The sequence below is a fragment of the Homo sapiens genome, chromosome 20, assembly GCF_000001405.40.
Source record: "Homo sapiens chromosome 20, GRCh38.p14 Primary Assembly".
Lineage (NCBI taxonomy): Eukaryota > Metazoa > Chordata > Mammalia > Primates > Hominidae > Homo > Homo sapiens.
The window spans coordinates 51,115,797-51,143,022 of NC_000020.11; the positions used below are offsets into that span (position 1 = coordinate 51,115,797).

The 27,226-nt window shown below is 45.8% G+C and overlaps 2 long non-coding RNA genes and 1 pseudogene across 5 annotated transcripts, besides 2 other annotated features; 1 reads left to right on the forward strand and 2 right to left on the reverse strand.

The window, feature by feature from the left end:
* Positions 1 to 1,593: 1,593 nt before the first annotated feature.
* On the forward strand, positions 1,594 to 27,226 carry LOC105372661 (uncharacterized). 4 transcript variants are annotated; one of them, XR_007067649.1, is made up of 4 exons: positions 1,594 to 1,682; positions 14,099 to 14,199; positions 20,229 to 20,459; positions 26,777 to 27,226. It is a non-coding gene; the product is annotated as an uncharacterized LOC105372661 (long non-coding RNA). The 4 variants fall into 4 exon arrangements; XR_001754665.2 differs by lacking the exon at positions 1,594 to 1,682 and adding an exon at positions 24,893 to 25,118 and having other exon boundaries at positions 13,913 to 14,199; XR_936845.3 differs by lacking the exon at positions 1,594 to 1,682 and having other exon boundaries at positions 13,913 to 14,199.
* Positions 3,157 to 3,992: an enhancer, noted in NCBI's record as "OCT4-NANOG-H3K4me1 hESC enhancer chr20:49735490-49736325 (GRCh37/hg19 assembly coordinates)". NCBI's record gives its function as "activates a minimal SCP1, AML or CMV promoter by ChIP-STARR-seq in naive and primed H9 embryonic stem cells {active_cell/tissue: H9 hESC(naive and primed)}" and the evidence as "EXISTENCE:reporter gene assay evidence [ECO:0000049][PMID:30033119]".
* Positions 3,846 to 9,080, reverse strand: LOC105372662 (uncharacterized). Its single transcript, XR_001754668.2, has 3 exons — positions 8,997 to 9,080; positions 6,830 to 6,983; positions 3,846 to 4,138 (listed from the first exon to the last, which is right to left on the reverse strand). It is a non-coding gene; the product is annotated as an uncharacterized LOC105372662 (long non-coding RNA).
* Positions 5,174 to 5,679: an enhancer, noted in NCBI's record as "H3K4me1 hESC enhancer chr20:49737507-49738012 (GRCh37/hg19 assembly coordinates)". NCBI's record gives its function as "activates a minimal SCP1, AML or CMV promoter by ChIP-STARR-seq in primed H9 embryonic stem cells {active_cell/tissue: H9 hESC(primed)}" and the evidence as "EXISTENCE:reporter gene assay evidence [ECO:0000049][PMID:30033119]".
* Positions 14,908 to 15,947, reverse strand: RPSAP1 (ribosomal protein SA pseudogene 1; annotated as a pseudogene).

Sequence of the window (27,226 nt, forward strand, 5' to 3'; positions counted from 1 at the left end):
GCAACAGAGTGAGACCCTGTCTCATAAACAAACAAACAAATAAAGCTCCGGTTGCCTGGAATAATCTTGTACAATATGGAGCCCTCAACTGGCGGGATGAATCCTATGTAGGCTTCATAAGGTTGGAGAGGGCTTTGGGGAAGTGACCCAGTGCAGGCGCCCTGGGTTAGGAGTCTGAAACGCTCAGGCTCTCATTTCCACTCTCAGCTTACTGGACCTGGGGTCTTGGGCAGGCCACTCTGCTCTTTGAGCCTCAGCTTCCCCCTCTGTGAACAGGGTTGTCCGGATTTGCCTTACCCAGTTCACAAACATGCCTTGAAGGGTCATTGTCACTGTTTAGCAGTTACAAATCCCAAGAGTGTCTAGACTTTTCTCCTCTCTGAGAGCTGCTGAGTGAGGGTGAATGGGTGTTTTTCAAAGGCTGTCACATTGGTGGTATGCTGGAGGGGCCCCAAGACCACCCTCAGGATTTACGGTTCAGTAGGAAGCCTCACCAGGCCTCAGCATACGGTCATCCTCCTGGCTGTGACTTATGATGAAAAGATAACAACTGAAATCAGCAAAGGAAGAGGCTCATAGGTGAAGGCGGAAACCAGGCACAAGCTTCCAAGAGTCTCTCCCACTGCATCACACAGGATACCTAATTCCCCCGTCAATGAGTTGTGACCGCACTTGTGAGATGTTGTCCACCAGGGAAGCTCACTAGAGACTTGGGGCCTGGGATTTTTATTGGAGGCAGATCATGTGGCAACCTCAGCCTGGCAGGTACCAAAATTCCAGACTCCCAGAAGGAGCTCAGGTGTTCATCACAAACACTATTCTTTGTATAGGTATTTTAGGCACAGAAGCCACTCTTACCAGTTAACGGTGGGTAGGACCCTCATGAAATCTGAGTTCCCAGACTCTAGCCAAGGGTCAACCTCATAGGGACTTTTTCTTGCCTTCCAAAGGATGGTGGCCGGGTTTGCTGTGTTAACTCTGTTTGGCACAGGTGGTGCATGTAATGGTCGTCTCTCATTTTTTTTCTGACATTTGGGTATTCAACCTCCCTTCCCATGCCTGGGGAATCTCCCATATTTTGAGACAAAAATCTACCTCTCATGATAGAAGCTGAAAATGTCACTCGTTTTCCCAGCCAGCTTTGCAGCTAGAGGACAGTCACATGATCCCAGTCCTGCCAATCAGATGAAGCACTCAGATTTTGAATTAGAAGCTAGTAACATAAAGAAGGTGGAGCCTGGGCAACATGGCAAAACCCTGTCTCTATAGAAAACACAACGATTAGCCCAAGTGATGGCTCACGCCTGTAGTCCCAGCTACTTGGGAAGCTGAGGTGGGAGGATTCATTGAGCACAGGAGATCCAGGCTGCAGTGAGCCATGATTACATCACTGCACTCCAGCCTGGGCTACAAATCAAGACAATTGTCTCAAAAAAAAAAAAAAAAAAAAAAAAAGAAGTTGGGAGCACACTTGTAGTGAGGGGTTGCAGCAGCTACATTCTGTTTCTAGGGGTGGTGGCAATGGCAGCAGTTCTGCTGTCAGAGGCTGGTGAGCAGTCCTGATGGTGGTGGTGACACCTGTGCCCAGCACGAGCTTCCAGGAACCTTCCCTGGGCCAGTTCTGCAAGATGCTTTGAGCCCCACCCCTGAGTCTCTGGCCCTCCGGGAGTCTCGGAGTCTCGGTGAGCTCCCTGTTCACTTCTTTACAGCCTCTTGTCTTTCCTTAAGTCAGACAGGCTTGGGCTTTGTTTCATTTTGTTTGGGTTTAGGTTTTGTTTGGTTTTGTTAGGAAGATAATTTTAAGATATACTCATACATGATGTTAAACAAAATTGAGTCACGGGGTGAAATGGTCCTTTTTTCATTCTCTCTCAGACTTTCTTCTTATTTAGGAGAAAGTCTCTGTTTGCTTCTAGAGTCCTTAACTCCTTTAAGCCATTTCTAGCACTTGCAAATTTCCATTTTAAACAAAGACAGAGCACGCCTGAGGCTAGGATGCTATCTAGCTAGAATTTGATAACATGGATATTGCAGAATGTTTATTTCATGGTTACTTTGTATTTATGGCAAGTATTACATAGCAATGGTACAATGTTTCCCTTTAAAATAAGATCATTTAAGAAAAAGTCCTAATCCGATTCCTGACCCTGAAGTAAATAACAGCACAATAGTGTAAGGATAAGGCAGTATCAGGAACATGGTTCTTGAATGAGAGAAGTGGGGGGAATGATGTGGCTGGAACTCACATTTGGGGTCTGCAAAAAGTGGTAGCAGATTCTCAGAAAGAGTAGACAAGCTCCCTGAAAGCTGAGGGCTGTGCTGGGGAGCTGGGAACCCCTCAACCCCAGCATGGGAAGATATGGTGGCTGCCCCCTCCACCCCAGCATTGTATCCATAGCATGTGGACAAGAGAAACCCCCCAGGGCTGTCCCAACTTGGCTGCAGCTGGAAGGGATGGTGAACATTGTCCAGCCAGCCCTTCTCATTGCAGAGATCCCGCTGGGGAGGATCTGGGTTTCAGGACCAGCCTCAGGCCTTGCAGTGAATCTGGGCAAGGTCAGACCATGAGCTGGTGGGTAGGGGTTCTGGATCCTCCCCTCAAGCTGCACTGAATGGCCCCCTGCTTTGCTTAGGTCAGTGCCTTCTCACTCACTCTCCAAGCTGCAGCCACACTGACTCCTCCCTGTCCCTTCAGCTTAGCAAACACCCTCCTGCCCTAGGGACTCAGCCCTTGCTCTTCTCCTCCTGCCTGGAAGGTTCTCCCCACCCACCTCCCACCACTGCCTGGCTGCCTGGCTCCCTCTAGGCACCCGCTCAGGGAAGCCTTCCCTGACAGCCTTGGCCAGGCCACCCTCACTGGTTGGCACATACCACCTTGGTTCACTTTCTTCACAGCACTTCTCCTCTGCGGCTTGATGTTTAAGATTCACTGAGTGTCCGTTGTCTCCCAGTGGAATGTGAGCTCCCTGAGGGCAGGGACAGAGCAGCTATACAATCTGTGGGACCCAGCGCAGGATGAAAATCAGGGTCCTTGTCTAAAAACAGTTAAGAGTTTCCAGACAGCCACAGCAGAGCCTTAAAGCAAGCTCGGGCCCTCTTGAGGCCCGGCTGCTGTGCTTCTGCACGTCCCTACGGCCTGGCAACTGGCCCAGGCCAGGGACTTTGTCTTGCTGACCACTGTCCCCTGAACATCGGGGACACAGCCTGATGCATAGTGGGCCCTCAATGAATATTTGTTGACTGAATGAATCAATGAATGAATGAACTGATGGCTTCAGTTGCTACTTCATCTGCAAACCAGAAACAAAATACATGCATCTAACCATTGATGACTGAGATCAAGTTACCCATTAAGGTTGAAAGAGAGAGTCAGACGCCTAGGAGGGCCCTGCTGGGCTGGCTGTAAGAGCAGCTCTAAGGGCCTCAGGAGCCTTTGGGGCAAGGCCGTGACCAGTGGGGTTCTGCTGTACCATATCACCCGCGCAGCTTGTGTGCAGCACAGAGTGAAGGAGGTGCCAGAACAGAAGCAGGACCGGGAGCCAGGAGGCCTCCCCAGTGGTCTAATAAGCACAGTGGTGGCAGAGGAGGATGAGAGAGATGGGATGCGCTGATCCATGCTGGGAGGATCACGCCCAAATTGCACACATGCAGTGGGGGGAGATTGAAAGACTTCAGTGATGTTTTATGTCTCTAGGGTGATACCTTGTGGTGTAGGTTCCAATCATCTGGGTCTCAGAATCTGTCCTGGTGTTGTCACATGTGCACATGCTCCATGTTCCAGCCCTTCCCCTAGTCCTTTGGGACAGAGGAGATGGTTTATGCCGAGAGCACTGCATACCCCCATAAAAGTTAAGTGTATTTATATATAATAGGCAGGCCTAGAGAGCCCGCACTGGGATAGTTATGAGAAGAAATGTAGCCTTTGGAAGAAGCCTCTTAGAACCACTGACATGGAGCCACGGACTTCTACTGGAGGAAGACTTGCCCTCTCTGGAACCCAGCAGGTCACAGTCCAAGCTTGCGGTGGCTCTGAGGGGTGAGAGGAGATGGATATTTCAGATCCAGCTGGGGTCCTCGGTCATTAGTGGCAATGTCAGGCGGTCCAGAGAGCATCTTCCCACGGCAGAGATAGCTGGTTCTTTTGGAGATTACCAACATGTGAAGTGAGGAGAAAAACAATAATACCAGGAAAGACCTTGATGGAATTTTTTATATGCCAGGCACTGTTCCAAGGCATTTACATATACTCATTTGTTTACTTCTGATAGCAACCCTGGGAGGTATGTACTAATATTATGGCTGGGAAAACTAAGGCACAGAGAAGCTAATTACTTGCCCAAGGTCATGGGCCAGAAGGCAGCAGAGCCAGAGTTGGAACTGAACATCTGACTCCAAGTCCTTGCTCTTAACCACCGCTCAAGGTCAGGGACCAAGGGCGCCACTGTCTGGTATCCTGATGGCTGTGGCAATATAAAGTTGCTGCAATGGCCAAAATGCTTGGAGGCCTTTGCAGGCAGCCTAGACCTTATTTCATCCTTGAGGATGGACACCCAGAACCAGCCTGATGGTGGGATTTGGTGTGAATGATCACATTTGATTCTCATGCCCACCCTTTACAGCAAGGGCTGTGATTGTCCCCATTTTACAGATGAGGAAACAGGCACAGAGTGGTTATGCACCTTGTCCAAAGCCCCACAGCTACTAGGCTACCAAACTAGGCTGGACTCCGGGACTGACCAAAGCTGTTGCAGTTTCTTCACGTCAGCCACTGGGCTTTTCTGTTTTTCTGAAACCTTTAGGCTGTGGGGCTGTCTTTCTATGGCCTTCAAAGCCAGAGCATCCTTGTTCCTTCACTAGGCATTGAGACCAGAGAGGTTAAACACTCTGCCTGAGGTCACACAGCTGGTGAGTGGGAAAAGGGGATTCAAAACCAGGCTGGTGCATGTCCAGACTTCATGCTTGCTTTCCTTCCATGCTTCGTTTCTAAGCAGTTTAGACTGACCATGGTTTTAAATTCTAGGGCATCTTCCTTTTTAAAATGGACTTTCTCATGGGAGGGGGAGCTAGGGACCATCTATAGCCAGCCCAAAACTTGGACTGGGGAGTCAGAGAGGTCTGGGTTCCATTTCCAGATCTGCCTCTCACCAGCAGCATGGCCACAGCTGGTCATACTCCTCTCTCAGCCCCCGTAAGATGACAATAACAGCCCCACCCCAGGATGTCAAGATGAAGGCAGATAGTAACGAGGCTGCTAGAAGAGTTCAGACTCCACAATGTGCCTGCATGTTCCATTATCTAAATCAGTAGAACATCTCTGGAAGGAAGTGAGGGAAGGCGAGGAAGAGGGGAGGGAACCATTAACATGGTGGCTATTAATAGGCCCTCATCAATCTTCAGAACATCCTTCTAAAGTACAAAGAGCACAAAAAGCAAATCTAACCCCTTTGCAGGTGGAGAACTGAGAACCTGAATGTGCAAAGGGAAAGCCTTCCAGAACAAACTGTGCTCACTCACATAGATTTCTTTGCTTCTTTGTTCTTAATCATGATCTTTTAAAATTTCTTTCCACCATTAAAAATGTCAGAATTTCAAGATGACAAAGTTCAGGACAAACCCTGGGGAGGAGTGGCTCGGCTCACTCTGCCTCCCGCTGTGTCCTCCTGGCTGGGCTCCCCAGGACTGTCTGCCAAGATCCCCGCATCCTTGAGGCGGTGTGCCCTAGCACAGAACAGTCTCTCCAGGGCTGCCAGCAGCAATCCCCCGCAGATAACACGTTCTCTTCCTGAGTCCTGGGCTCACAGAACATGTAGCCCTCATAGGCTCAGGGGTTGATTCTGGAGGACTCTGCATCTCTTTGCAGAAATGCAAAATTGAAATGTCAGCCTGGACATCTTCCCAGGGAAGTCCAGGTCTTTGCAAGGGATGGGATACCTGTTGGACAAATTTCTAGCTAATTGATTTTCTTAAGTCTAGCCTTGCTTCCTAGAAGTTTAAAATCGAGTAGGGAGGCATCCTGAGGGGGCATGTGCTGTTTGGTTTTAATATTGCTGACAAATAGTGTCATCCTAAACCCCCAGAGTCCTCTGCCTCCACCCAGGCTGTTCACCTGGGATCCCTTGGACCTCACTGATATCCAGCAACTAAAGGGTTAATGCCTAGCCCAGCAGGGGATGCTGCCCAAAGCTGGAGTCACAGTTTGTTCTGATTTAGTCAATACTGGCCTCTCCCTCATGACACCGATGGTTAAATATTCAGAACATTACTCCAGAGGCAATGTATACAGTCATGAAACAAGCCACAGTAAAAAATGCTGCAGAATGTCTGTCATAAGGGCTAGAGCAAGTGGCAATGACCCCCCCACCACCCCATCTGATGGGCAGCAAGCTGCTTCTCTGGAAGATGTCCATCCTCTTTCTCAGGCCACCTCCACACTGAGCCAGTCCTCTTCCCGTCTCACCTGGATTCTTCCCTTAGCCTCCTCTCTGGCCTCCCTGCCTCTACCCTCACCCCTGAGCCAATCCATCCTCCATACAGCAGCCAGAAAAACAAGTTTGGTCACACCAACCCTCTGCTTAAAACCACCCCATGGTTTTCTGTGCTCACGGTCAGGCTAAAGCTCCCAGTTCCCTTTAGAGCAATCTCTGCAATGTGCAGTTATACATTTGTTTGTTTTGTTTATTTTTGGTCTCCATCCCGGAATGGCAGGCCCAACAAAGACTCTCTAGTGTTTATATCCAGTGTCTAGCGCAGTGTCTGGCACACAGTAGGTGCTCAATAGATGTTTGCTTAGTCAGAGAAAGAATAAATGAATGGATGACTGAGCACTCACCGTGAGGTCTGCAAGAGCCCAGAAGGAGCGGGATGTTTCCTCGGCAGGTTATAATTTGCAGAGGCAGAGAAGAGATTGCCATTCAAGGCAAAGGAACGGTCAGGGCAAAGGCTGGGAGGTGGTGTGTAGGTGGCTTCATCTGCCCTACAGGGCTCTGTCAGCAAGAAGACAATACAGGGAAGGGACTGAGAGCGTGGGGTTCTGAGTCAAAGGCCCTGGGTTCAAGTCCTGGCTCCACTATTATTAGCTGATGACCTTGGGAATGAGGTCACCTTTGTTTGACTCAGTTTTCTCATCTTACAAATGAGACGATGATGATCTCTACCTTATAGAACTGTTTTGAGGACTAAATGAGATAACATAAGTCTGGGTGAAAAAAAAAGGCTCAATAAATGTCAGTGAGTGTGTTTGATTCTGGGAAAGAAATAACACTTGCCAAGTATTTTCTGTGCAGGGCATGTACTGAGCCGCTCATTTAATCCTTTTAGCAACCCGGTGAGGTTTACTTTCGTATTTCAGTTTGACAGATGAATGTGACATTCTCCCCTGTCATGGGTATCCCAGCACCTGGTTTATTGTGGTTGATTCAGTGCGGTGATGTTTAACCCTTGCCTGGGCATTAGAATTACTTGGGGAGTTGCTGTAAAATACCCACACTTCCCACCACCGGCCAGCCAAATAAATCAGAATTTTTGGGGAAAGGCCCAGGTATCAGTATTTTTTAAAACTCCCTAGATGATCCTAATAGACCAGCCAAATGGTCTAAGTTTGGATGTGAAAGACTGTGTGGTTGTCACAGTGAGCCCCAGGACTGGGGCTAGGACTTGAGGATGGGGGCTGTGAGGCACTTCTTACTCTGACTACTGACAGCAAAGCCAGACAAGTCACTTCATAGAGGAGACTCGGAAATCTGTTACCACCCAGTGTGGGCATGCCTGGAGTGTGGCTTTCAAGTGCTCAGCAATATTGCTTGGTGGAGTCTTCAAATCACAAGCATCCCTCACTTTTATGGGGCTGTCTGCTCCAGGCATCCAATTTGTATTAGCGAAAGCTCCCTCTCCTTCATAGGAGGGTGTAACAAAAGGGAACCCAAGACATATAGATATTTTCTCTGTGCTTGTCTGGGGGCTGACTGTTCCCAGATCTTATTGAAAGAGGCCAGGCATGGTGGCTTACGTCTGTAATCCCAGCACTTTGGGAGGCTGAGGCAGGCGGATCACCTGAAGTTGGGAGTTCGAGACCAGCCTGGCCAACATGGAGAAACCTCATCTCTACAAAAAATACAAAATTAGCTGGGCATGGTGGTGCATGTCTGTAATCCCAGCTACTTGGGAGGCTGAGGTAGCAGAATCACTTGAACTTGGGAGGTGGAAGTTGCAGTGAGTCGAGATCATGCCATTGCACTGCAGCCTGGACAACAAGAGTGAAACTCTGTCTTAAATAAATAAATAAATAAATAAATAAATAAATAAATAAATAGCTAGCTAGCTTTGGGGCCTGAACCTGACTTCTCCTAAAACTGTTGGTCTGCTATGTTACTTTCAACCCCTTCCTATAGCAATTTGTGAAATAAGTCATTTCTCTAATTAAAAAACCAACCAACTAACCAACAGGATGCCTAGTTAAATTAGAAATGTAGCTACACAATGAATAACATTGCATGATACAGTAAAAAAAAAAAATTACTTATTGTGTACCTGAAATTCAAATTTACCTGAGTGTTCTGCAGTTTATCTGGCAACCCTACCTGGGTCTCACTTTCTGGGGCTACTTCAGAGTTAATAGCATGGACATTAACACCACAGACATCCTCCTTGGAACCCAGCTCTGTCCCTTAAGTGGTAACTGAGCTGCAGGCAAGACATTTAACTTTTGAATGGTAAATGCTTCTTTTCCCATAAGCAAATACAGATAATAATAGTACCTGTTTCTTGTGGTTATTGTAACTGTAAAATAGAATCATCTATCTAAAGTACATACTAAGTGCTCGATAAATGGTAACTGTTATTATATTTACTGTATCAGGAAACAATATCAGCAATGTATTTTTGGTTTATAATGATAAGAATTATAAATTCCTTTTATTCTGTCTATAAGAAGAATGTATGTATATTATGGAAAATTAGAAAATGCAGATAGATACGAGAAAGAAAGAAAATCTACTCACATTTTTAACGTTTGCTGATTACTCTTCCAGTATTTTTCCTTAAAAATATATCTGTATCTGGCCAGGCATGGTGGCTCATGCCTGTAATTCCAGCACTTTGACAGGCAGAGGCAGGCAGATCACCTGAGGTCAGGAGTTTGATACCAGCCTGATCAACATGGAGGAACCCCATCTCTACTAAAAATACAAAATTGGCTGGGCGTTGTGGCACATGGCTGTAATCCCAGCTACTCAGGAGGCTCAGGCAGGAGAATCGCTTGAACCTGGGAGGCAGAGGTTGTGGTGAGCCAAGATCGCGCCATTGCACTCTAGCCTGGGCAACAAGAGTGAAACTCCGTCTCAAAAAAAAAAAAACAATCTATATCTATATCTATGTATCTATCTATCTCTGTACAGAATAGTTTTGTGCTGTGGGTCCTGCTTTTTTTTTTTTTCACTTAACATTATATGACATTTGAACTTTGAACAACATGGGTTTGAAGTGCGCGGGTCCACTTATAGAAGGAGTTTTTTCAGTACAAGTGACACCCAGCGTGCCTGCCTTGCCTGCTTTCCCTTCCACCTCCTCCCCATCTTCTGCCTCTGCCACCCCCAAGACAGCAAGACCAACCTCTCCCTTTTCTCCTCCTTGTCAGCCTGTTCGACATGAAAAGAGGATAAAGATCTTTATAGTGATCCACTTCCCTTTGATGAATAGTAAATATATTTTCTCTTCCTCATGATTTTCTTAATAACAGTTTCTTTTCTCTAACTTACTTTATTGTAAGAATATAGCATATAACACACACAACATACAAAAATATGTATTACTCGGCTATTAGTAAGGTGTTAGTCAGTATTAGGCTATTAGTTAATGTTTTGGGGAAGTCCAGAGTTCTGTGAAAATTTTTGACTGCGTGGGGATCAGTGTCTCTGACTCCTGCATGGTTCAAGTGTCAACTGAATAAGTATTTCTCTAAGTTGTTAGATATTCTTTGAAAATCTAATTTTCACTGTAGAGATATAGACAAATGTATTTAGCCAATCTTATGCTGATCATCCAAGTTTTTGTTGCTATTATAAATAGTACTGCAATGAGCTCTTTATCTTTTATTAAACATTGCGCTAGAGCTCAGTCGGCCCCTCTGAAGCCTGTCTCAAAGCATGGTCTTCTGGTTTGTGTTTCTGGCTGCCTGGCCGCTGCTTTTGCCAGAGTGCCTTGCCAAAACCCAAGACAAATGGATTTCAGCCTTGATGGGTAGGCCCAGGGCTGCTCAGAGGCCCATTTTGTCACTCTCTGTCTTTTGGAAGTGGAGCTGGCTCTCTGCTGAAATGTACAAACACAGAATCCTTTTTGATCAAGGGGAGATCCTTTTCTAGCCTTGGGACTCAGTCCGTTCTGTTCCTGGCTGCATGCGTGCCATCTCCGTTGATTGTCGTTGTCTTTCTTGTTTCATGGAACTGGAAAAACAAAACCAAACCAAAAACCTTCCAAGGTTCTGAAGTCCTCATATCCTTAAAAATCCATCAGAAAGCCCCGAAGCTTCCGCTGCTGAGTTTGCCTTTTCCAGCCTTGCCTGATCTCACTTGGGAACATGACTACCCAATAACTCAGTTGCAGCAATGGTGGGAGAACAGAGCCACCAAATACAAGCAACGTCCTGGAGAGAAGGGCGCTTACAGGCAGAGGCGAGGCACACTGAAGCAATCAGTCCTGCTGTACAGGTTTTCTTAATGTTTTGACATTTTAAGTTCAGAGAACATAGCTTGGTTTTATAAAATAGTTTCAGTCCAGAGGACAGAGGGCACAAAAGTCTCCAAACAAGTTCTTCTGGGTGGAAGACACTATGAGTGGCTCTTTACCTGCTTTGCCATCATTTTTGCCCCAGAACCTTATGGAATATATTAAGTCACTGCATGGGTCCACTTATACAAGGATATTTTTCAACACAAGTTACACTCAGTGTGCCTGCCTCACCTGCCTTCCTTCCACCTCCTCTGCCTCTGCCACTGCTCAGACAGCAGGACCAACCCTTCCCTTTTCTCCTCCTAGTCAGCCTGTTCAACATGAAGAGAGGGTGAAGATCTTTTTAACGATCCACTTCCATTTGATGAATAGTAAATATATTTTCTCTTCCTTGCAATTTTCTTAAGTTTCTTCCCTAGCTTTTCTTCCTGCCATTACTTTTGCACCAACCTAATATCCAGTGCAGATTTGAGGCAATGAATTGATTTAATTGCAGGGCTCATTTGAGCCCCTAGCATGTCTTTGTGTATGCACAATTATTTTTTCTAAACTGGTTGAGTTTGAAAATGTAATAACTTTGCCCAGACCCACACAGCCATTTTCTTCCCAGAGAATCAATGTAATTTGCATGTGTTATTCGGCCACAGGACAATAGAGCAGTGCAGCTCTTGTTGATTTTGAAGAGCTGCTGATCGCCTTGTTTGAGAAGTCAGGGCCCAGGAAGGCAGCCAGGATGATGCAGGGCTTGTCAATTTCCAGGTGAATTCAGCAGGCAAGTGGGAGCGGCAGGTGCTGGTCAGCTTGGGTTTCAACCTCATCCTTCATACGTGCCAGCTTTGAGACTTTGGCAAGTTACTTCAGCTTTCTGTGCCTTATTTTCCTCATCTGTAAAATGGGATAATAAACGACTCTACCTCATAGAATTCTTTTGACTCATAAATGAATTATTACGCGTTAAGCACTCCAAATACTGCCTAGTTCATTGTTAGTATTATTTATTAAGCTCCAAGTGGTATTTGGACTTCTTAAATGAGAATCACCAAAAGCAGGGCTTCTCAAACTTTAATGTGCACATAAAACACCTAGAGATCTCCTTTAAGTACACATTCCGATTTAATAGGTTGAAGGGCAGGCCTGGGAGTTTGCATTGGCAGGTGCAGCGACTATCGGAGGTGATAGCCAAGATGCTGTTTGAAGACCATGCTTTGAGGTTCAAGGACTTTGAGAACTTAGGGTAAAATTGCAGATTCCCAGGCCCAAGCCCAGACTGTCGGTTTCAGGACCTCTAAGGGTTGGTCCCAGGATCCAAGTGTTTAACGAGCCTCCTAGGTGATTCAAACACACTGAAGCTTGACAGGCTAGAATGAGTTAATTTTAGTGTAAGGAAGATGTGGCTTGTTCATAACCTTTGTGGGAGAGAATGTGTCACTCTGTGTTTAGGACTTAGGTTTCTTCTTCTCTCCTTTCATTTTCCTTCTTCTCTTTCTTCATTCCTCCCAGGCCAGGCAGCACAGCTCAGTGGTTAGAGCATCTCCTCTGGATTTGCCTCGCGATCTCACCATTAGCAGTGATACCTTTATGGAAGCATGTGCTATGAGAGGACTGTGAAAGGGAACCCAAGGGTTGATTTGGGAAGCTGGCAGTCATCGGCCAAATCCTGACCATCTTGGGCTGACTGCTGCAGAGGGTGCAGGTCAGAGTGTATCATCATATATGTTCTGGCCACTGGCTTTGGACAGTAGTATATGTGGGTGTTTGTTCTCCTCTGGATGATAAACAGCTCAACAACAGTGCCCTTTTTTGCTCTTCTTGGGCCTTCCCCAGCGCAAGACTTGACATCTGAGCTCATCAGTGCTTCCTGAATGAGTGAATAAAAGACGTGCTGCAGCCACTGAGTCATGCACCACTGAGCTATTGCAAGCTGAAAGGAACTCAGCGGTTCATAAACACTGGCTTTGACCACCTTAGCTCAATTCAAGTCAGCAAATATTAGTGATCATGTATCTTGCATCAGGGCCCATACCCGAAGCCACAGAAAGTCCTGGGGGCAGCCAGATCCAATAATTATAATTTCTCTGTAAGTTTTCCTATGCCTCGCTTATATTTGAAGCATGATTACAATGGAATCCAACTGGCCATACAATCAGTATTTGTAAAATAAAAACGAAATCAGCTCTACATGCTGTCATTTCCAAGATGATGTTAATGGAGGTACTCTTGTTTTACCTTCACAACCACATTAGGAGGTAGGTATTCTTATTGTCCACATTTTACTGATGAGCAAACTGAGGCTCTGAGAAGATAACTCATCTGGCACCTGGCAGTGGGGAACTTGAACCGGGGTCTGGAACTCCGCCTGTTCCATAGGCTGGTGGTAGGGCATAGGAAGCGGGTCGTGGATGGACTTGGGCAAGAAGAATAGAGGTGCAGTTCCCCTGAGAAAGGGGGAGGGATGCTGGTCATCGGGACACAGCTGAGGTTGCCACGCCACATCCCCTCCTCCAGGCATGCACAGCATTGTGGGAGGGGGCTGGCCTGTCACACCCTCAACACTGAGACCCATCAATGAGAAGAATTTCCTGAGTTTATAAAACAGCAACAGGTTAGGCAGCATCATGAGTGAATTGATCACCAAGCTGAATCTTACTTAACTCCTAGCTTTAAAATAATCGGCAGGAAGGAGAACAAAAAGCCACACGTGTGTTTACACACAGGCACCCCGCCCTGCAGGCCCCAAGGAGAGGTTCAAATCAAGGCAGCCTTTCCTGTGGGCGTGGGTGAGGTGCCCCGCACAGGAGCCAGCTTTGCACTTAGTGCAGACTAGACAGCCATGTAGTTTAGCAGGGGCAGCATTGACAGAAACCAGAGAGCTGTAAATGCCACACTGGGGTGGCTGGGCCACATGTGCTATTAACCAGACAGTCTTGTTCCATGTCTGGAGTCTGAGCACATTTTAGGCCCTGGTGGCTGGGCAGCACCCTGTGGGGACCGTTAACCACTTAGCTGAGACCCGTTGAGCAGATGCCTCTGAAATCTATGCTGGTTTGAACCCCCCCTGGGGTATTTTGTGCTCTTAGGGACACCATAGTAATTGATGTAATATGCCTAAGATGGACTGAAACTGTCTGATATTGGAATAAATTTAGCCTCACTGGTAATAAAAGATAAGTGCATGAAAACAAGATGTCATTTTACTATAATTTTCCCTGGCCATTTTATTATAATTTTTAGATTGGCCAAGGTTAAGAAAGATGACAGCTCTGTGGGCTAGAGGGTGGAGAGACAAGCCCTCTCCTACACTGGTGAGGGGTGCCAGGATTCTGTAGCAACACCTTTGAGTGAGCATAACCTTGGACTCAAACAATTTTCCTTACAGGCAATAACCTACGAAATACTGGGATATACGCACAAAGATCCATGTGCCAGGATATGTGTTGGAGGATTTATATTTGGAGAAAATTAAATGCGCAATGAGAGGTGAGTAGTTAAATATATTTTGGTATATCCATAGAATGAAATTCCAGGCAGTCATAAAATGATGCTGGCTTTTATGTTATGGAAGGATGTTCCAGATATATAATTGAGTAGAAAATATAGGTTACAAAATAATATGTATAGTATGAGCTCATTTTTGTAAAAAAAAAAAAAACCCAAACTGTCTATATCTAGATGTGAAAAATGCATGGAAATATTAACAATAGTTATCTTTGGGTGATGGGGTTATGGATGAATCCTGTGCTTTCTAACATTTGTAAAAGGGAAAGTGATTACTTGAATAACACAAATGGACTGTCTTTAGAGGCGAGGGACCAGGCTAGTAAGGCCTGCAAGAGGGTGGCATGGCAGCTGAAAGGAGGGTGCTGGGGTTACTGTGGGCCTCGGTGTAGCTTCTGCTCAGACAGGAATTGTCTGTGGGGCTCTGGGCAGGTGGTGCAAGCTCTCTGAACCTTGGTGTCCTCATCTGAAGAAGGGGGTCGGATGATACTTACTTCACAGTTGTGTTGTGAGGATTAAGTGGGATAATTTCTGTAAAGTACTTGGCACATGATAAGCACCTAATAAATCTTAATTATATATAAATATTCTATCAATATTGAATGCTAGCACTATCTACCTCTCTAAACACACACACACACACGTTAATCCACATATCTAAAAGAGTGGACTGGTTTTCCTTTCCTTTTTAAAAAAATTTTTAGAAACCGATGTTTATTTTCTGTCAACCTTATTTCCATGTTGTTTAAGAGCCTGTGCAAGAACAGTGTAAGGCCATTCAGTGGTTGGTCCTACCCATTCGGTGGCCTGAGCAGGGGGAGCTGCAGACCAGTCTTCCGTGGCAGGCTGAGCACTCCAGTCTTGGGTAGGGAACTGCTGAATAGGCCCAGAGGGCACCTGCACACTGTCAGACCAGTCTGCAACCTCAGGCCAAGTAGCAGTGAACTCAGGAGCTGGAGCAGTGTTCATTCACCCTGAAATTCCTCCTTGGTCAAAGCCTTGTCAGCAGCAGCCTGCTCTTCTTTTTCAATCTCTTCAGGATCGCTGTAGAAGTAGAGATCAGGCATGACCTCCCACCAGTGTTTGCGGGCAATTGTGCCGCTGCATGGGCAGAATTTCCCGGGCCAGCATCCACATCAAGTCCACTGAGTGAGCTTCCTGTTGCATGGGATGGCAATGTCCACATGGTGCAGAGGAGAATCTGTGTGACACAGAGCAATGGTAGGTAGGTTATAACATAAGATGCCTCTGCGAGAGGCTGGTGGCCGGTCCTGCAATCAGTAACCACAAGAACCCGTGGATTCGGGAATGTTGCCTGGATCTGGTTAGTGAAGGTTCCAGGAGTGAAGTGGCCAGCAATAGGAGTGGCTCCAGTGGCAGCAGCACACTTCAGCATGGCCCTCTGGCCAGTGCTACTGGAGGATATGACACTGACATCAGCAGGGTTTTCAATGGCAACGATGGCAGGAGCCACCAGCAGAAGCTTCTCCCAGCTCCTCTTTAGATTTATGATGTAGATGCCACCACTTTTCCTCTTACAGATGTGCTGTTCCATTCGGAAGTCAAGGTCGGTGCCACCTAAGTGGGTTCCTGCTGCAAGGAACTTAAGGACATCCTCCTCTTTCATTTGCAGGACATCAAGGGCTGTGGACATTGTGAAAGTTTCCCTTTAAGTTATGACGGGAATCCAGAACCACACTGTATGGACCCCTCTGTGGGTAGCAGGGAAAGCGAGTAGACTTGTTTTCTAAAACTCCCGAGGATGGACTCCTTGGGACAGCATCACAGCATCACAGGGGACCAATGTCCACCCCAAATTAAGAAAAATCTTCTAGCTTTCCACAGGTAAAAATGGGAGCCCCATCCCTGGAAGTATTCCAGTAGCTTGTGGGTAAACAGATGGCAGAGGTATGGGAGGTGATATCTGAGAGTCAGATGATTGGGTTGACCTAGCCAGTGGCATCCCCTTCAGTCCCCACATTGAAGCCATTGGCAAAGGGGATGAGAAGCTGGCTCAGGATCAGGCAACCTGGGGCCTTGCAGCAGCTCTGCCGCTTTCCTAGCAGGTGGGATGCTGGCAGACCTCTCTCCTCTCAGTCCCAGTATTCACAGGGCTAAAATAATTTCTGCTGTACAGTTGTAAGAATTGGAAATAATGCAATCTAGCTCCCACTCTATTAGTGTTTTTGTTCTGAAAATAGCAGAGCTAGGACTTGAGCAAATATTCCTCCATTCATTCATCTGTGCCTGCATTCATTCACTAGACAAATATCTATGGAGCAGCGTGCCCAGCTTCTGTAACAGGCAGGGCCCCTGGAAGGCTCCCAAGCCCCACAGACCTGCTGTCGAGGGTCTGCAGAATCCTAATCCCACTGTCAGGCTTTATTGTCGTGTTCTGCACAGGCACCAAAGGGCAGTGCTCAGTGATGATGAAGCTAGGCTCCTTGCCAGAAAGACAGCAGGAAGTTTTGCTGCAACGTGCATGCTTCCTTGAACACAAGGAGGGAAATAAGAAAACCCCCATGGCCAGTTTCATGATGGGGGGAGTTATTCCGGCCATGCTAAGATAATGTGCCGGGATAAAGGGCATCTCAGCTCTCCCTGCCTCTTCCCTCCTCCCCCTCCAATTCCCGAGCTGTGAAGGTGGCAGGAGGAAGAGAGCTTGAAACCACGGGGACCCGGCTTGGGAGGGACTGTTCCTTCTGGACTTTCTGCCTCCCTAAGTCTACTTCTATCTCAGCTCCAGCTCAGCTTCAGGTCTCTGTCACAGATGTCCCCAACCTTGGCCCATTTTCCCCATCCAGCAAACACAGTCACACTTTGACCGGGGTCTTACCCCTGCGTTATGACTGTGTGCAGGTGTCAGCTTGGCCTCCGCCACACCCAGGGTCCTGTTCAAATTGGGGTGTGTGGAAAGACAGTAGCAGTGCTGGGGACCTTAGAACTTTGGTTTCACAGTCTTTTGCCTGTTTTATAATGTGCGGGATAGACTGGAAAAGTGGTATCCACAGCCGGGCACAGTGGCTCTCGCCTGTAATTCTAGCACTTTGGGAGGCTGAGGCAAGTGGAGCACTTGAGGTCAAGAGTTCAAGACCAGCTGGCCAACATGGTGAAACCCCATCTCTAGTAAAAATACAAAAATTAGCTAGGCCTGGTGGCAGACACCTGTAATCCCAGCTAGCTACTTGGGAGGCTGAGGCAGGAGAATCGCTTGAACCCAAGAGGCGGAGGTTGCAGTGAGCCGAGATCGTGCCATTGCACTCCAGCCTGGGCTTCAGAGAGAGACTCTGTGTCAAGAAAAAAAAGGTGGTATTCACATGCAATTTATAAATAAATACATATATAATTAATAATTCAATTATTAATTAGGAATAAAAAGGAATGATCATTGCTTCTGAGCTGCTCCTGGTTCATCACACCAGGGGCAGCTCAGGAGCTATGGTCATTTCTTCCTTTTTATTCCTAATTAATAAATACTATGTTGTTAATTATAATAACAGATGTTATATTTTATAATTATATTTTATATCTTGTAATAAAATATATTATTATGTGTAATTATGACTATATGGCTGGGTGCAGTGGCTCACACCTGTAATCCCAGCATTTTGGGAGGCTGAGGTGGGGTCACTTTGAGGTCAGGAATTCAAGACCAGCTTGGCCAAGATAGTGAAACCCCATCTCTACTAAAAATACAAAAATTAGCTGGGTGTGGTGGTAGATCCCTGTAATTCCAGCTACTCAGGAGACTGAGGCAGGAGAATTGCTTGAACCCAGGAGGCAGAGGTTGCAGTAAGCCAAGATCATGCCACTGCACTCCAGCCTGGGAGACAGACTGAGACTCTGTCTCCAAAAAAAAGGAAAAAGTTATGACTATATAATAACATAATTATTATTATATAATACCATAATAATAAATAATAATGAATACATATTAATAATTGATACATATTAAAGGTGAGTGTTTAGCAGTTTTTAAAGTTAGGAATGCATGATCAAAGAATTCAGAGCCAACCATCAAAGACCAGGAGCAATGGCTATTTATTCCTTGTCTCAGGGTTCTCTGAGCAGAGCTTGCTCCTGGCTGGGGTTCTTAAGTGTTTGTGAAATGAATGAATCAAGAAATCGGACTCCTAGTCTTTTGGCAGGCTGGAAGCAACTTGAAAGTTCATATGTGTTGTGTCAACTGAAAAAAAAATCACAAATTTATAAATTTAGAAGGGAGACTATTTCTTATAAAGGATTATAGCCTGGAAGGTGGCCATTCTGCCAGAATGGGAAGCATCGCCTCTGGAGGAGGCCGTTAGTAGGCACTTTGAGGGAGGGAAAGATGAGACAGGAATTCATGAATGGGTTGGCCAAGTAGATATATTCAATGGGTTACAGGAGGAGCTATGAATATTCATGAAAGGGGTTCTGATGTATGCAGGAACAAACGTGTGTTACGTGTGGCCTGTGTTCTCTTTGGGAAGGAGACATTGTTTAAATGCATTCTAGTTAGGCTCTATAGGTCAAAAGGTGAAGCAGGGCCGTGAAGGCACTCAGTGTGCAGCCTCTATAAACTGGCCAGAACCTGTTTACGGCTGTCAGTCTCTTATCAGGAGGAAGTTAATGAAATCAGTTTCTGTCCCATTAAAGCTGAAGATGTGGCTTGTGGAACAGGGGGCAGTTAGTCAGCATAAGGCGTAAGTTGCAATTGTTTAGTGTTGCTGATCTTGAGGTCAGTGCTTGTTTAGATGCTAGAGAAAAAGAGAAACCTTGTGGTCGTTACCTGACAACAGTAGTTTCTTTAAGGATGGGGATGTGTGACTTAACCCTTGTTTGGCATGGCCTTAGATCCTGTTTAAAATTTGGTATCTTATTGCCACAAAGAGTCCATTCTATCAGTCTTATGATCTCTATGTTCACATTAGTGTTGGTCAGTTATTGTGTCTGAGCCACAAAAGGGAAGGGGTTTATAACAGGGTGAGTCTGACCTCCTGTCCCGTGTTGGCCCAGAACTCAGTTTTTATGGTTTCTCTGAGGTTCTCTTGGCCAAGAGGGGGTCCATTCAGTTGGTTGGGGGGCTTAGGATTTTATTTTTAGTTCTCAGTTGAGATGGAATAATACATCTTACCTCAATTCAAAAAACAACGATCAGTGGTCATTGTCTGTGGGCTATGTTCCACATCTGAGGATTAGGGGTTCAGAAGCCATGTGTCCCTTCCTTCTAGGAGCTCGTGGTATAGCAGGGACGGGAAGACAATGTACACACATGACTCTAACAGTTAAAAGTCACAGACAAGGGAATGTACTCGAATTCTCTTTTATTTATTTTTTAAATTTATTTATTTTATTAAAAAAAATTTTTTTGAGACAGAGTCTCACTCTGTATGTAGCCCAAGCTGGAGTGCAGTGGTGCCATCTCGGCTCACTGTAACCTCTGCCTCCAGGGCTCAAGCAATTCTCCTGCCTCAGCCTCTCGAGTAACTGGGATTACAGGTGTCCACCATCACGCCTGGCTAATTGTTTGTATTTTAGTAGAGACAGGGTTTCACCATGTTGCCCAGGGTGGTCTCAAACTCCTGAGCTCAGGCGATCTGCCTGCCTTGGCCTCTTAAAGGGCTGAGAGGACAGGTGTGAACCACCGCACCTGGGCTAATTCTCCTTTTATATGAAGACTCTGTCTGATCATTAATATTTATTTCTCAACCTTGTATAGTGAAGGTAAGGAACTGGCAAAGTATTTCTGAACCTTTGGTCATTTGAGTGTTCCATTTATAATTTTTGCCCTATTTGCATAAGATTATTTGCATTCAAATGATATTTCCCTTTAAATTGACTTTTTACCTAAATAAGTTTAGGTAAAAAGGAAATTATATTATCACCATGGTTGAAAAATCAGTATTGCTTGCTCTAAAGAGAAAGTAAAAGTAAAAATAAACAATAACAAGAGCTAATATCGATTTAACACTGCATCCATGTAATGTTCTAAGCACTCACTTCATGCTCATAACAACCTGCTGAGGCAGGTGCTGTTATTATTCCCACTTTACAGAGGGGAAGGCTGAAGCTCAAAGAAGCAAGGCAACTCTCAGGGGTCACAGAAGTGATAAACTGAGGAGTTGGAATTCCAGAGTCCAAGCTGGTGACGAGCACCGTGAACTCCTCTTCTCTGGCCACCACTCTACTCTACAACAAAGTCTATAAATTATGGCCATGGCCAGATCCAGCTCGCCACCTGTTTCTCTGCTGTTCCCAAGGTAAGAAAGATGTTTTCATTTTTAAATGGTTGGGAAGAAAATCAAAGGAAGAATAATATTTCATGATATGTGAAGAATACTTCAAATTTCAGTACCCATAAATAAAGGTGTATTGCAACACAACCACACTCATACTTTATGACATTTTGTCTATAAACTTTATGACTTTTTGTCTATAAACTTTATGACTTTTTATCTATGGCTGCCTTTGCCTTTAATTGTGACAGAGACCACGCGGCATACAGAGTCTGAAATAGTCTCTCTCTGGCCCTTTGCAGGAAGTATTTGCTGACTCCTGATCTATAAGGAAAATTCTAGCCGGGCAGTGTGGCCACTGACCTAAGGCCTATTGTTTCAAAAGGAAGTGTTAAAGAACTAGTAACACCAAACAGAGACTCCTTCATTGATGTAATGGGAAAGATGAATTGAAAAGGGAATATCTTTCTCAATAGGTGGATTTAAAGATTTTGTTACTAATTGCTGGGCTCTTGTACTCTTAGAAACATCTCATGGTGGGCTGGGCGTGGTGGCTCGTGCCTATAATCCCAGCACTTTAGGAGGCTGAGGCTGTAGGATCACTTGAGTCCTGGAGCTCGAGACCAGCCTGGGCAATATAGCGAGAACTCGTCTCTACTAAAAACTGAAAAGTTAGCTGAGCATGGTGGTGTGTGCCTATAATCTCGGCTACTCGGGAGGCTGAGGCAAGATGATCACTTGAGGACAGGAGGTCAAGGCTGCAGTAAGTTATGATTGCACCACCACCACTGCACTCCAGCCTCGGCAACAGAGCAAAATATTGTTTCTTTGGGGTTTTTTTTTTTTGAGACAGAGTCTCGCTCTGTTGCCAGGCTGGAGTGCAGTGGCGCCATCTCGGCTCACTGCAATCTCCGACTCCCTGGTTCTAGCAATTCTCATGCCTCAGCCTCCTGAGTAGCTGGGATTACAGGCACGTGCCACTACGTCCGGCTAATTTTTGTATTTTTAGTAGAGACGGGGTTTCACCATGTTGGCCAGGTTGGTCTCGATCTCCTGACCTTGTGATCCGCCCACCTCGGCCTCCCAAAGTGCTGGGATTACAGGCGTGAGCCACCGTGCTTGGCCGTGTTTTATAAAAAAAAAAAAAAAAAAACAAAAAAAATCTTATGGTTCTTGTTTTATGGAATCTTAGTTGCTCTAGGTAACCTCTAAAAACTGTTCCAGCTCAAACTGTCTATATTCCTGAGAGCTGGGTCATTATTTCTTCCAGCACAGTAAGATACTGTGAATGAAGTAGTTCAAGGGCCTGGCTAAAACCTTCTCCATCCTGCCTAGTGCTAAAGGGTCTATTTTCTTTCCTGGCTTCATTTAAACTGTGAGTTTCAGATTTTACTCTTCAATGTGGCCAGGAAATAGCGCCTTTGGTGCAACAAGTTGAATCTGCCCAGCTGTGGCATGTATTGAAATGCATCTTCATTACTGAAAATCTAATTTGTTTCTCAAAATCTTCGCTGGAAATATTGAACTGGAGCAGAGAATTAAATTAGCTCAAATTCAAATGTGGTTTGCTGTCATTCGAGCAAAATTGGTCTCTCTCCTGAATTTCTACAACTTCCTGTCCATTATTTTGGTGGACTTTCCTGAGGAAAGTGGTAATTTGCTGAAATCAAAACATAATAAAAATGGCCCCCATTTTCTAGGATCTTAAGCAGGTGGAACTGACTTTATTCAAATCCCAGAGGAAAGATGAGACACAGACTTCCGTTCTCTGAGCTGGCCACTGTGTTGGACAGGGGACACTATCAGGAGTTATACTGTTTTCTTACAACAGTTTTTTTTTTCTTTATTGTTTTCTTTCCTCTTCCTCCTTTCTTTTTCTTCTTTCTTCTGCTTCTTCTCCAAGAAAGTGTCTGGCCGGGCGCAGTGGCTCACGCCTGTAATCCCAGCACTTTGGGAGGCTGAGGCGGGCGGATCACGAGGTCAGGAGATTGAGACCATCCTGGCTAACATGGTGAAACCCCGTCTCTACTAAAAATACAAAAAATTAGCCGGGCGTGGTGGTGGGCACCTGTAGTCCCAGCTACTTGGGAGGCTGAAGCAGAAGAATGGCATGAACCCGGGAGGTGGAGCTTGCAGTGAGCCGAGATTGTGCCACTGCACTCCAGCCTAGGCAACAGAGCCAGACTCTGTCTCAAAAAAAAAAAAAAAAAAAAAAAAAAAAAAAAAAAAAAAAGCGTCTGGCTCTGTCACCCAGGCTAGCTGGAGTGCAGTGGCATGACCACAGCTCACTGCAGCTGTGATCCTCCTGCTTCAGCCTCCCAAGTAGCTGGGACCACAGGCACACATCGCCATGCCCAGCTAATTGTTAATTTTTTGTAGAGACAGGATCTCACTACATTGCCCAGGTTTGTCCTGAACTCCTGGGCTCAAGCAATCTTCCTGCCTTGGCCTCCCGAAGTTCTGGGATTTTGAATGTGAGCCACTGTGCCTGTCCTCCTCCTTGTCTTTTAAACAAGCACAAATCGAACTTAACATCTGTGCTGCCTGTTTCTCCTCACATGTCCCCCAAGGCCCTGAAAAGTTGGCCTGCCCATCTCTCTAGCCACAGAAAAGTTTAGCAACTTGCTTAAGGTCACTCAGTAGGACATGTGAGAAGCTGGAATTTGAATACAGGTTTAGCTGACTCCTGAGCCTGGGCTCTGGGGACGTTAGAGCCCCTGGATCACTAATGTGAGCATGGACAGGGCAGGGCTTGCATGCTCACAGGCGTTTGCAGTAGGTGACCTTATCCTCGCAGAGGAGATGACCAGGGGACAGGATGAGGCACTGATGGCATCTGCTGCAGGGGCTGTGTTTCCCCTCCTTCTAACCTTCCAGGGGCTCCCTATCACCTTCTGGGCAAAGTCTGAACTTCTGAGCGTGGACTTTCCTTCAGAAAGTCTTCCTCTCTACTCTCTGCAGGGGTTTGTACTTTTTTTTGTTTTTTTGTTTTTTTGTTTTGAGATGGGGTCTCACTCTGTTACCCAGGCTGGAGTGCAGTGGCACGATCTCAGCTCACTGCAATCTCCGCCTCCCTGGTTCAAGCAATTCTCCTGCCTCAGCCTCCTGAGCAGCTGGGATTACAGGCCCATGCCACCACGCCCGGCTAATTTTTGTATTGTTAGTGGAGACGGGGTTTCACCATGTTGGCCAGGCTGGTCTCAAATTCCTGACCTCCGATGATCTGCCTGCCTCGGCCTCCCAAAGTGCTGGGATTACAGGCATGAGCCATGTTTTCTTAAAGGGCCTGAAAGAAATTTTCACCTTAGCTGGCTACCTACAGTTTCTGTTGCGACTTACCCCACGATTCAGCTCTACCCTTGCAGCAGGAAAGCAGCCCGAGGCAATAAGTAAATGGAATGAATATGGCAGTGCTCTAAAAAATGTATTTACGAAAAAATGAGCATTGGCCGGATTTGGCTCAGAGCCTAGAGTTTGCTGATTCTTTTACGGTAGATGGGAATTGGACAGGTAAGTAGGAATGGGAGTATTATGAGGATGTTGCTAATAATAATTATAAATAATTATCATCAAACAAAATAACTTAAACATGCCCTGGGGAATAGGGAGAGCCCACCTGATCTCTAATTACACAACACACGCAGACGAGATCCAAATTCATTTCCTGAGTATTGTGTTTTCTCTCCAAAAATCTCAAAGCAGCATTTGTACTAGACGAAATTTAATTTGAACCACAAAGAGATCTATGCTTATACAACTAACTGCCTGGTTTAGCCCACGGTTAATTGAAATCATTGGAGAATTGTTTGAAAGTGGATTTTGTTCTCCTCCAATCTGGGGCCCAGACCCTATTCTTGTCATTGTAATCAAGTCCTATGGTTCTATTGCTTCGGAGAGCATCTGTCAGTAACTGAGTGGATATTTAATTCCATTTGCCATTTGGGGTAATTTTCTTGAGAGCTGAGATCAGCCATTCTATCACCAAGGGTAATTGTCTTTAATTAAAGGTCTCAGTAAAAATAGGTTAGCCTGCCATCCAGAAAACCTCTTTGCTTTTCTTTATTGAAAGTATCCCAAATGTGAATAGAAATATTTGGTTTTTTCCTTGCCTTTAGTACCTGCTTCAAAATAATACTCTCCTTTCTAGAGCAGATTTTGGAATGGGATAGATCCAGGTTTAAATTCAAATTTAGTTATTTACCTATTATTTGGGTGACTTGAGGACAATCCGTTTTAACCCCTCAAAGTTTTAGGTTCCTTACCCACAAAATGGGAATGCTGGTGCCTAACTCCTTCTCACTTACTCCATCTCCCCACCTCCATAATAAAGATAATCACAAACATTTACAGAATGCGCCTATGTGGCAGGCACCTTGGAGAAAATGTTACAGTTATCATTTTGTTCAATTACCACACAACACTACAAGGATGACATTATTATTATCTCCATTTTAAAGATGGGAAAACTGACACACAGAAAGGCAAAGGACCCCATTAAAGTCACACGGCGAGTGAATGTCAAAGCCAGGACCTGCAGAGGCTATGGTGGGGGAGAGCACTTGGAGGAGATGGGAAGGAATCGTTGCAGGGACAGGTCTCACCCTCACTAGTGCTCACTCCATTACTTGCCGAATACACTGGGAGAAACACGCCCCTTCTCTTGACCCGGCTCTTTTCCACAAGGTGAGCTTCTGGCTCCTCAGCCAATTGATATTTCTCTGTTTTGTTCACTTCCATGTGGCCGACATGGTGAGACTGGGCCTGTGTGTGCCTCATGCTTGGGAGGTGCCTCCTAAACCTTGGAAGTCCCTACAGGATCAGGGGAGGGCTCAGACAGAAGGAAAATAGGGCATGGGCTGCTCTAGACTTTATAGGAAAAGCAAAGGTGTTCTCAAGGGTCCCACGGCATATCAGTTAGGATATGTTTAGCTGCAAGTTACAATGTAATGAACTAACAGTGACCTAAGCAATCAGTAAAGGAGTTTGGAGGTGGGTTACTCCAGGGTTGGCTTGGTGGCTTCACTGTGTCACCAAGGACCAAAGCTCTTTCTGTCCCTCGGGCCCACCCTGCTGAATCTGTTGACTTTTCATCCTTAGGTTTGTGCCTTGGTCACAGAATGGCTGCCACAGCTCCGAGCATCCCATCCTTAAACAACCTCATTCAAGGCAGAATATAGGAGAAGGTCTCCTCCCTATTGCTACTTTTATCAGGGAGTGCAAACCTTCCAAGGAACAAAAACCTCACCACATCTCCTCTTAATGTCTCCTTGTTCAGAACAGGGCCATAAATCTTAAACCAATCAAACCAAGCTAAGGGGAGTAAAATGACTATGCTGGGGACCATCTAGTGTCATTCTTTTGGGTTGGGTTGGGGAGGGGCTCACCTTCCCTGTACATGATGGGCCCAGGACAAAATTGAGGCCCTGTAATCTTAAGCAAGAAGAGGAGGGACCACATGTTGAGTGGGTAGGAACCACCTCTGCCACCAAGAGGGCCATGGTGATAAGCAGATTAGAAGCAGATCAGTCAGTTTCCTCCTCTTGCATGGACCTAAAATAAGATGCCCTGACTCCCTGGATTAGACCCCACCCAGGGAAAGAGACTGAAGTCCCAACTTATAGCTGAGTCCTCTAGGCTACATATACTTCAGCTGACTGTGCCTCAGTTTCTCACCTGTAAAACTGGGATGACATAGTACCTGCCTCATAGAGTTGCTGCAAGGATTAAATAAGTTAACCCACTTACAATGCTTAGAGCTGTGCTTAGCAGGAGATGCATACAGTATGAATATTGTCCACTATGTTTATCGGGGCCAGGTTGGCATCCAAGATAACTGACCGTCTCAGTTCATCTGGGACCGAGAGGGCTCCCAGGACATGAGACTTTCAGTGTTAAGGCCAGAACCACCTGGGGCCAACCCAAGATGAGTTGGTTACTCCATGGGAAACACACATGAGCAAAGCAGGGGTAGGGATTGAGGCAAACTGCAGAGCCTGTGCCCCAGTCATTTGGTTCCATCTGGTTGTTGCCATATTGTCGGCCCAGTGTGTTCAGATCTGATTTTTCCAGGAGAAGCCTGACAGCTGGATTTTTATGTTAAATCTCTGAATTTTTACATATTTTTAACATTAAAAAGCAAAACAACAAAACACTGCGTGATCCAAACAAAACACTTATGCCGACCAGTGTGGGCCCTCGGGCTGCCATTTTACAACTTTTTCCTCACTCTTCTCAGCCCCTCTCACTTACATAATGGATGGGATGTTTCTTGGTTTGGATACATACATTATTTCCTGCCTTCCCAGAGTGGCTCCCTAATTCAATCTTATTTGTTTCTGCAGGAAGTACGGGACGGAAATTAAAGAAGAAAGTGGTTCCACAGGTTTGGTGGCTACAAAAAGATTTCCTCGATAAACACTGCCCACAGTCACTCATTTGTGAAAGCTGCATGATGTGAAATTAAACTCGGGCAGAGGTGCTGTGGGTGATGATGTCTCGGTGGCTTGGGGAAATGAAAGCCATTCATCTCAGGCAAATGTGACAGGCAGGACCATTGGCTTTCCGTCACCTATGGGCTGCCTTCTCATGGCAGTGGCCTATGCAGGCCTTACGTTTTTGCAGCAAATTTGTAATGAACCAATCAGTGGCCTTCATGTCAGGCAATCTAGGAAGGTTTTGGAAGTGGGACTACTTGCCCCACTGTTGGTGAGTATTAGATATCCCTTTAGGAAGGTTCAAGAGCCCATGCTGGCCAGGCGCGGTGGCTCATGCCTGTAATCCCAGCACTTTGG